At 37.9% G+C, this 11,557-nt stretch overlaps 1 protein-coding gene across 1 annotated transcript in view; it reads right to left on the bottom strand.

Moving 5' to 3' along the window:
• The window catches only part of ZNF892 (zinc finger protein 892), a 57,232-nt gene that overhangs the window by 4,886 nt on the left and 40,789 nt on the right, over positions 1–11,557 (bottom strand). The gene's annotated exons all lie outside the window — the stretch shown is intronic.

Here is an 11,557-nt window from a genome sequence, read left to right as displayed (position 1 = left end):
GGCATTGTGTCTGTTGTGCCTAGTCAAGGGATCCAGGTGTTGGATACAGTGAATTCCTCTTCAAAGGTTCCACTTTTTCAACTCCCTCGTTCTTTGTCCTCTATTTTCAAAGCCTAACTTCTTTGCCTCCTTGCCCCTAGTTATGGTAAACAACCTTCCAGCCATTGCCAATCTGTAACCCACATCTGTTCCCAATCTGTAACCCACGTCCATTCCCAATTTATAACAATCCACATCTGTTCCTTATTTGGCACCCTTAGTTTCAAAACTGCTCTTCCTGCTGCTGTAGCCCCCAACCCTTGCTCCATTAGAAGTAGCCAATCAGGATCAGCTTAGATTGTGCCATCCAACTCCAGGCAGTGGGGACTGGACAACAGTAGCAGGGACTGACTGCATTAGGGATAAAAACCCCTTCCCTCCTTTGTTTGGTGTGCTCTCACAGTGACAAGAGTGAGCAGCACCCTTCTGCAGAAGTAAATTTGCCTCGAGTGGAGCCAAGATGGCCAAATAGGAACAGCTCCAGTCTACAGCTCCCAGCGTGAGCGACGCAGAAGATGGGTGATTTCTGCATTTCCAACTGAGGTACCAGGTTCATCTCACTGGGGATTGTTGGACAGTGGGTGCAGGAGAGTGGGTGCAGCACACCGAGCGTGAGCCAAAGCAGGGCGAGGCATCACCTCACCCGGGAAGCGCAAGGGGTCAGGGAATTCCCTTTCCTAGCCAAGGAAAGGGGTGACAGACGGCACCTGGAAAATAGGGTCACTCCCACCCTAATACTGCGCTTTTCCAATGGTCTTAGCAAATGGCACACCAGGAGATTATATCCCGTGCATGGCTTGGAGGGTCCTACGCCCACGGAGCCTCGCTCATTGCTAGCACAGCAGTCTGAGATAAAACTGCAAGGTGGTAGTGAGGCTGGGGGAGGGGCGCCCGCCACTGCCGAGGCTTGAGTAGGTAAACAAAGCAGCAGGGAAGCTCGAACTAGGTGGAGCCCACCACAGCTCAAGGAGGCCTGCCTGCCTCTGTAGACTCCATCTCTAGGGGCAGGGCATAGCCAAACAAAAGGCAGCAGAAACCTCTGCACTTAAATGTCCCTGTCTGACAGCTTTGAAGAGAGCAGTGGTTCTCCCAGCATGCAGCTGGAGATCCGAGAATGCACAGACTGCCTCCTCAAGTGGGTCCGTGACCCCCGAGTAGCCTAACTGGGAGTCACCCCCCAGTAGGGGCAGAATGACACCTCACATGGCCGGGTACTCCTCTGAGACAAAACGTCCAGAGGAATGATCAGGCAGCAACATTTGCTGTTTACCACTATCTGCTGTTCTGCAGCCTCCACTGCTGATACTCAGGCAAACAGGGTCTGGAGTAGACCTCCAGCAAACTCCAACAGACCTGCAGCTGAGGGTCCTGACTGTTAGAAGGAAAACTAACAAACAGAAAAGACATCCACACCAAAACCCCATCTGTACGTCACCATCATCAAAGACCAAAGGTAGATAAAACCACAAATATGGGGAAAAAACAGCAGAAAAACTGAAAATTCTAAAATCAGAGCGCCTCTCCTCCTCCAAAGGAATGCAGCCCCTCACCAGCAATGGAACAAAGCTGGTCACAGAATGACTTTGACAAATTGAGAGAAGAAGGCTTCAGATGATCAAACTACTCTGAGCTAAAGGAGGAAGTTCAAACCCATGGCAAAGAAGTTAAAAACCTTGAAAAAAGATTAGACGAATGGCTAACTAGAATAACCAATGCAGAGAAGTCCTTAAAGGACCTGATGGAGCTGAAAACCACGGCACAAGAACTACATGATGAATGCACAAGCCTCAGTAGCCAATTCCATCAACTGGAAGAAAGGGTATCAGTGATGGAAGATAAAATGAATGAAATGAAGCGAGAAGAGAAGGTTTAGAGAAAAAATAATAAAAAGAAATGAACAAAGCCTCCAAGAAATATGGGACTATGTGAAAAGACCAAATCTATGTCTGATTGGTGTATCTGAAAGTGACAGGGAGAATGGAACCAAGTTGGAAAACACTCTGCAGGATATTATCCAGGAGAACTTCCCCAGTCTAGCAAGGCAGGCCAACATTCAAATTCAAGAAATACAGAGAACACGACAAAGATACTCCTCAAGAAGAGCAACTCCAAGACACATAATTGTCAGATTCACCAAAGTTGAAATGAAGGAAAAAATGTTAAGGGCAGCCAGAGAGAAAAGTCGGGTTACCCACAAAGGGAAGCCCATCAGACTAAGAGCTGATCTCTCGGCAGAAACTCTACAAGCCAGAAAAGAGTGGGGGCCAATATTCAACATTCTTAAAGAAAAGAATTTTCAACCCAGAATTTCATACCCAGCCAAACTAAGCTTCATAAGTGAAGGAGAAATAAAATCCTTTACAGACAAGCAAATGCTGAGAGATTTTGTCATCACCAGGCCTGCCCTAAAAGAGCTCCTGAAGGAAGCACTAAACATGGAAAGGAACAACCAGTACCAGCCACTGCAAAAACATCCCAAATTGTAAAGACCATCAAGGCTAGGAAGAAACTGCATCAACTAATGAGCAAAATAACCAGCTAACATCATAATGACAGGATCAAATTCACACATAACAATATTAACCTTAAATGATAAATGCTCCAATTAAAAGACACAGACTGGCAAATTGGATAAAGAGTCAAGACCCATCAGCGTGCTGTATTCAGGAAACCAATCTCAAGTGCAGAGACACACATAGGCTCAAAATAAAGGGATGGAGGAAGAGCTACCAAGCAAATGGCAAACAAAAAAAGGCAGGGGTTGCAATCCTAGTCTCTGATAAAAAAGACTTTAAACCAACAAAGATCAAAAGAGACAAAGGAGGCCATTACATAATGGTAAAGGGATCAATTCAACAAGAAGAGCTAACTATCCTAAATATATATGCACCCAATACAGGAGCACCTGGATTCATAAAGCAAGTCCTTAGAGACCTACAAAGAGACTTAGACTCCCACACAATAATAATGGGAGACTTTAACACCCCACTGTCAACATTAGACAGATCAATGAGACAGAAAGTTAACAAGGATATCCAGGAATTGAACTCAGCTCTGCACCAAGCAGACCTAATAGACATCTGCAGAACTCTCCACCCCAAATCAACAGAATATACATTCTTTTCAGCACCACACCACACCTATTCCAAAATTGACCACATAGTTGGAAGTAAAGCACTCCTCAGCAAATGTAAAAGAACAGAAATTATAACAAACTTTCTCTCAGACCACAGTGCAATCAAACTAGAAGTCAGGATTAATAAACTCACTCAAAACTGCTCAACTACATGGAAACTGAACAACCTGCTCCTGAATGACTACTGGGTATGTAACGAAATGAAGGCAGAAATAAAGATGTTCTTTGAAACCAACGAGAACAAAGACACAACATACCAGAATCTATGGGACACATTCAAAGCAGTGTGTAGAGGGAAATTTATAGCACTAAATGCCCACAAGAGAAAGCAGGAAAGATCTAAAATTGACACCCTAACATCATAATTAAAAGAACTAGAGAAGCAAGAGCAAACACATTCAAAAGCTAGCAGAAGGCAAGAAATAACTAAGATCAGAGCAGAACTGAAGGATATAGAGACACAAAAAACCCTTCAAAAAATCCATGAATCCAGGAGCTGGTTTTCTGAAAAGATCAACAAAATTGATAGACCGCTAGCAAGACTAATAAAGAAGAAAGAGAAGAATCAAATAGATGCAATACAAAATGATAAAGGGGATATCACCACCGATCCCACAGAAATACAAACCACCATCAGAGAATACTATAAACACCTCTATGCAAATAAACTAGAAAATCTAGAAGAAATGGATACATTCTTCGACACATACACCCTCCCAAGTCTAAACCAGGAAGAAGTTGAATCTCTGAATAGACCAACAACAGGCTCTGAAATTGAGGCAATAATTAATAGCTTACCAACCAAAAAAAGTCCAGGACCAGATGGATTCACAGCCGAATTCTACCAGAGGTACAAGGAGGAGCTGGTACCATTCCTTCTGAAACTATTCCAATCAATAGAAAAAGAGGGAATCCTCCCTAACACATTTTATGAGGCCAGCATCATCCTGATACTAAAGCCTGGCAGAGACACAACAAAAAAAGAGAATTTTAGACCAATATCCCTGATGAACATCGACGCAAAAATCCTCAATAAAATACTGGCAAACTGAATCCAGCAGCATATCAAAAAGCTTATCCACCATGATCAAGTGGGCTTCATCCCTGGGATGCAAGCCTGGTTCAACATATGCAAATCAATAAACGTAATCCAGCATATAAACAGAACCAACAACAAAAACCACATGATTATCTCAATAGATGCAGAAAAGACCTTTGACAAAATTCAACAACGCTTCATGCTAAAAACTCTCAATAAATTAGGTATTGATGGGACGTATCTCAAAATAATAAGAGCTATCTATGACAAAACCACAGCCAATATCATACTGAATGGGCAAAAACTGGAAGCATTCCCTTTGAAAACTGGCACAAGACAGAGATGCCCTTTCTCACCACTCCTATTCAACATAGTGTTGGAAGTTCTGGCCAGGGCAATCAGGCAGGAGAAAGAAATAAAGGGTATTCAATTAGGAAAAGAGGAAGTCAGACTGTCCCTGTTTGCAGATGACATGATTGTATATCTAGAAAATCCCATCGTCTCAGCCCAAAATCTCCTTAAGCTGATAAGCAACTTCAGCAAAGTCTCAGGATACAAAATCAATGTGCAAAAATCACAAGCATTCTTATACACCAATAACAGACAGATAGCCAAATCATGAGTGAACTCCCATTCACAATTGCTTGAAAGAGAATAAAATACCTAGGAATGCAACTTACAAGGGACGTGAAGGACCTCTTCAAGGAGAACTACAAACCACTGCACAATGAAATAAAAGAGGATACAAACAAATGGAAGAACATTCCATGTTCATGGGCAGGAAGAATCAATATTGTGAAAATGCCCATACTGCCCAAGGTAATTTATAGATTCAATGCCATCCCCATCAAGCTACCAATGACTTTTTTCACAGAATTGGAAAAAACTACTTTAAAGTGCATATGGAACCAAAAAAGAGCCCACATTGCCAAGTCAATCCTAAGCCAAAAGGACAAAGATGGAGGCATCTCGCGACCTGACTTCAAACTATACTACAAGGCTACAGTAACCAAAACAGCATGGTACTGGTACCAAAACAGATATATAGACCAATGGAACAGAACAGAACCCTCAGAAATAATGCCACATATCTACAACTATCTGATCTTTGACAAACCTGACAGAAACAAGAAATGGGGAAAGGATTCCTTATTTAATAAATGGTGCTGGAAAAACTGGCTAGTCATATGTAGAAAGCTGAAACTGGATCCCTTCCTTACACCTTATACAAAAATTAATTCAAGATGGATTAAAGACTAAATGTTAGACCTAAAACCATAAAAACCCTAGAAGAAAACCTAGGCAATACCATTCAGGACATAGGCATGGGCAAGGACTTCATGTCTAAAACACCAAGCAATGGCAACAAAAGCCAAAGTTGACAAATGGGATCTAATTAAACTAAAGAGCTTCTGCACAGCAAAAGAAACTACCATCAGAGTGAACAGGCAACCTATAGAATGGGAGAAAATTTTTGCAATCTACTCATCTGACAAAGGGCTAATATCCAGAATCTACAATGAACTCAAACAAATTTACAAGAAAAAAACAAACAACCCCATCAACAAGTGGGCGAAGGATATGAGCAGACACTTCTCAAAAGGAAACATTTACACAGCCAAAAGACACATGAAAAAATGCTCATCATCTCTGGCCATCAGAGAAATGCAGATCAAAACCACAATGAGATACCATCTCACACCAGTTAGAATAGTGATCATTAAAAAGTCAGGAAACAACAGGTGCTGGAGAGGATGTGGAGAAATAGGAACACTTTCACACTGTTGGTGGGGCTGTAAACTAGTTCAACCATTGTAGAAGTCAGTGTGGCGATTCCTCAGGGATCTAGAACTAGAAATACCATTTGACCCAGCAATCCCATTACTGGGTATATACCCAAAGCATTATAAATCATGCTGCTATAAAGAAACATGCACACGTATGTTTATTGTGGCACTATTCACAATAGCAAAGACTTGGAACCAACCCAAATGTCCAACAATGATAGACTGGATTAAGAAAATGTGGCACATATACACCGTGGAATACTATGCAGCCATAAAAAATGATGAGTTCATGTCCTTTGTAGGGACATGGATGAAGCTGGAAACCATCATTCTCAGCAAACTCTCACAAGGACAAAAAACCAAACACCGCATGTTCTCACTCATAGGTGGGAATTGAACAATGAGAACACATGGACACGGGAAAGGGAACATCACACACTGGGGCCTGCTGTGTGGTGGGGGGAGGGGGGAGGGATAGCATTAGGAGATATACCTAATATTAAATGATGAGTTAATGGCTGCAGCACACCAACATGGCACATGTATACATATGTAACAAACCTGCACATTGTGCACATGTACCCTAAAACTTAAAGTATAATAAAAAAAGAAAAGAAGTAAATTTGCCTCACTGAGAAATCCTTTGAGTGCTCATTTTCTTTGCGACTCCGAACTCTTATTTCCAACACAGGCCAAGGTTTTTCCTTGTCCCTTCCTTTCCAAATTTGGATTGGAAGGAGGAAAACATTTGTAAGAATTAGATATTTTAATTGCAACACTTGTGAATTTGGTTCTGGGTACCCACTGGTCATTGATCCACAGCCTCCCTAAAGAGTCTTCGTTTTCTTGTCTCTGACCTTTGAAAGTGTGATTTGTCACAGGGGGAAAATCCTAAGAAGAGATTCTCCTTTCATCTTGTTTCATGTCCTAAGAGTTTTGCTTTGTAACCAGCAAAAATATTCTCTGGTCTCTGTCAGATAGGGACGCAAGTGGTCAGGCTTCCATCAGGCGCCAGCCTGTGGCTAGCAGTCCAGAAGCTCTTGGGGAAGCTCATCCTAAAATCGGGGTCACAGTCCACAGGGGTCATTGCCGTCTCAGCCTTCCTTGCCTTGTTAACAATGAGGGTCTCTGCTTTCCTAGGCTCTCATGGGGACAGTCTTTGATTGGGGAGTTCCACATCCTTTGCACACTCTTTGGGGATGTCTCTGCCTCTATAGGTAGTCCAAGAAAGGCTAACTAATGTTAAGCCTAAAAAGGCTTATTGGCTTTGAGTCATAATTAAAGTAGGTGTACCTTGGAAGATTTGGATTTTTATATCTGAAAGGATTGTTTTAGAAAGTTCTCATCCTCAACAAATGTCTTATTGTTACCTACAGGAAGATCAGACTGAAAGGAAAAAGTGAATAAGGCCAAGGTGAGAATCAATGTTTATATAAATTAGTAAGTTTGTATTCCTGTATTTATACCTAACTCATGGCTAAGATTTAAGATGAAAACTGTAAGATCTCTGTTTGCATTTGTATGTTCATATCTACATATGTATGTTATGTATAGGTGATTTTTTTACCACCAAATGGTGATTGCCAAAATTAATTTGTAAAAGAGCTCTACTGAACTGGCTTAAAGAATAATAAGCATTTATTAATATGTAATATTTATTATTTAAGCATTTATTACATAAATAATAAATATTTATGTAATATTTATATAAGCATTTATTTTTTTATATAAGCATTTATTTACATAAGCATTTATAAATACATAAATGCTTATATAAATAAGTATTGACGTCAATGTTTATTTAAGCATTTATTAATATGTAATATTTATTTATTATTTAAGCATTTATTACATAAATAATAAATAACTGTGAATATTTATAATTATTTATAATTTATGAATATTTTATATTTATAAATTTATAATTTATGATAAATTTATAATTTATGGATATTTTATATTGATAAATTTATAATTTATGAATATTTTATATTTATAAATTTATAATTTATGAATAGTTTATATTTATAAATTTATAATTTATGAATAGTTTATATTTATAAATTTATAATTTATGAATAGTTTATATTTATAAATTTATAATTTATGAATAGCTTATATTTATAAATTTATAAATAATTTATGACTATTTTAAATTTATAAATTTATAAGTAATTTATAAATATAAACAAATAATAAACATTTATTACATAAATGCTTATTATTATAAGTATTCTTAAAACTCTCAGACATATAGAAACTAACCCAAATGTTTTTCATGTTCATATGATCTGAGATAATGTTCCATAAATAAAAGCTAGTTTAAGTTTGTTGGTTTAATTAAATCAGGCGTGTCTTGAGAGTTGTCAACATTAACTGTACTGCAGACATACAACTTATTCTACCTGGGTTTACTAATCAAGTAAACTTATATTATCTTTACTAGATGTTCAAGATTATAAAATTATAAATTCAACCTAACAATAAAATACACAATAAAAATAGATTGCTTGACATATGCCAACTGCTGCAATAAAAAGAAAAACGAAGAAAACATTGGAAAGAACTTATTTTAACCTTTATATTCTTACTTCCATGATTTTTAAAATATTGCCTGATTTATCTACAAAATAAGATTACTAGCTTTAATGTCTCATGAAATTTTCACAAACAATTCAAACATAATTGTTAAAAGCAAGTAAATTAAGTGACATAAAAGTTTATAAATGGACTTTTTAACAATGGTTATGTTTTATATGTCTGTTTAAAAATAAGTTCCAAAATCTTTTTGGAAATTTGAAACTTTAAAGTTCTACTAAGTTAAAAGATGAATATTCATTGACTATCTAGATCATTTCCAAATAAGATAAAATACTGAAACACTATTACGCGTGTTTAAGTTTCTCTAGTTTTTGGCTTCCTGCTTTTTGTAGAGAGACAAAGGCTATTTCATTCTATTAATAAATATGTTATTTTTGTCACATCCAAAAATTACATTACGAAAAAGAACACACCTAAAAAATGATGAGATGGTATATTGGTAAAATGTGCTGGTATACTACAGGATGTTAATATTGAGATGATTCAAATATTGTTTACTTTCTAGGTTGCTCTGTAAAAGAAAGGTTATTAATGATTAAAAATTATAATCAAGGCCGGGCACTGTGACTCACGCCTGTAATCTCAGCACTTTGGGAGGCTAAGGCGGGCGGATCACAAGGTCAGGAGTTCAAGACCAGCCTGACCAACATGGTGAAACCCCGTCTCTACTAAATATACAAAAAAAAAAAAAATAGCCAGGAGTGGTGGCGGGCGCCTGTAATCCCAGCTACTGGGGAGGCTGAGGCAGGAGAAACGCTTGAACCCAGGAAGCAGAGGTTGCAGTGAGCCGAGATCGTGCCACTGCACTCCAGCCTGGGTGACAGAGCAAGGCTCTGTCTCAGAAAAAAAAAAAAAAAAAAAAAAAAATATATATATATATATATATATACATACATATATACATATAAAATCAATATATGTAAATGAAACTATTAGAAACCAAAAGGGTGAAGGGTAAAAACCCTGTGTTCAAAGTATGGGAGAAAAACAGGATGTGTTTTTATATTAAAAGTCTGCAGTCGGATGCTGTGACAGGTCCCTGCAGTCCCAGCTACTTGGGAGGCTGAGGCAGGAGGATTACTTGAGCCCAGGAGTTCACATTCAGCCTGGGCTATGTAGTGAGACCCCCAATTCAATCAATCAATCAATCAATCAATAAGGTATGCAAAAAAGTAGAATGTGTTTTTGATTTTAAAAAGAATGAAGGGCATGTTTCCATTAGGTGAAAGTAGAGTAATTTTGTCCTAAAATAAAATGACCGGTTATTCCAAAATAAAAGAAAAAGATGAAACCTAAATGAATATAGAAAGTTGCAGAAGTTCTGAGGAAAAGAAATTTTGTGTTGCAAGGTCAAAGCTGGCTAGGATTAAATAGATTTACTTATAAATATTTTTAAAATGTGCTGATATAAAATTAGAGATTAGTTTTTTTTTTCTCTCTGTTAAAATAACCAGGTTTCTTAGGTTATTGGTCTATTCCTAATAAGAGATTATGAAGGGTTTTTCTTTACTTTTTTAGGGATCTGCCTGGGAAACAAAAAGTCTATATCCTATCAAAATAATTTGTTGTGCTTCGTGTTCTTTTTAAAATATAATTTCATCTGTTGTTTTAGATTCAGGAGGTACATGTGCTGGTTTGTTACCTGGGTATGTTCCATGATGCTGAGGTTTGGAGTATGATTGATCCTGTCACCAAGGTGCTGAGCATAGTGCTCAATAGTTAGTTTTTCAACCCTTGCCTCTCTCTCCCCACTTACTCCTCCCTCTAGTAGTCCCCAACATCTATTGTTTTCATCTGTGTGTCCATGAGTACCCAGTGTTTAACTCCCACTTATAAGTGAGAACATGTGGTATTTGGTTTTCTGTTCCTGTGTTAATTTGCTTAAGATAATGGCCTCAGCTGCATCTATGTTGCTGCGAAGGACATAATTTTATTCTTTTTTACAGCTGCATAGAATTCCATGGTATATGTTCCACATTTTCTTTATCCAATCCACTGTTGATAGGCACCTAGTCTGATTCTGTGTCTTTGTTATTGTGAATAGTGTTGCAATGAACATATGAGTGTGTGTGTCTTTTTGGTGGAATGATTTATTTTCTTCTGGATATACACTCAGTAATGGGATTGCTGAATTGAATAGTAGCTCTGTTTTAAGTTCTCCAAGAAATCGCCAAACTGCTTTCCATAATGGCTGAACTAATTTACATTCCCACCAGCAGTGTATAAGCATTCCCTTTTCTACATAGCCTTCCCAGCATGTTATTTTTTGTTTTTAATAATAGCCATTCTTACTGGTGTAAGATGGTATCTCATTATAGTATTGATTTGCATTTCCCTGATGATTACTGATGTTGGGCATTTTTTCATATGTTTGTTGGCCACTTGTATGTCTTTTTTTGAGAAGTGTCTGTTCTTTTGCCCACTTTTTAATGGGGTTGTTTTTAATTGTTTAAGTTCCTTATAGATTATAAATATTAGACCTTTGTCAGATGCATAGTTTGTTAATATTTTCTCCCATTCTGTGGGTTGTCTGTTTACTCTGTTGATGGTCTCTTTTGCTATGCATAAGCTCTTTAGTTTAATTAGGTCCCACTTGTCAAGTTTTGCTTTTGGCACAATTGCTTTTAAGAACTTAATCATATATTCTTTCCTGAGGCCAATGTCCAGAATGGTGTCTTCTAGGTTTTCTTCTAGGATTCTTATACTTTGAGGTCTTACATGTACATCTTTAATCCATCTTGAGTTAATATTTGTATATAGTGAAAGGTAGGGGTCCAGTTTCAATTTTCTGCATATGGCTTGCTGGCTATTCCAGCACTGTTTATTGAATAGGGAGTCCTTTCCCCATTGCTTATTTTTGTCAACTTTGTTGAAGCTCAGATGGCTGTAGGTATGCAACTTTATGTCTGGGTTCTCTATTCTGTTCCATTGGTCTATGTGTCTGTTTTTGTACCA

The sequence above is a fragment of the Homo sapiens genome, chromosome 2 (genome assembly GCF_000001405.40).
Source record: "Homo sapiens chromosome 2, GRCh38.p14 Primary Assembly".
NCBI classification, from domain to species: Eukaryota; Metazoa; Chordata; class Mammalia; order Primates; family Hominidae; genus Homo; species Homo sapiens.
This window is presented reverse-complemented; position numbering and strand designations above follow the sequence as displayed.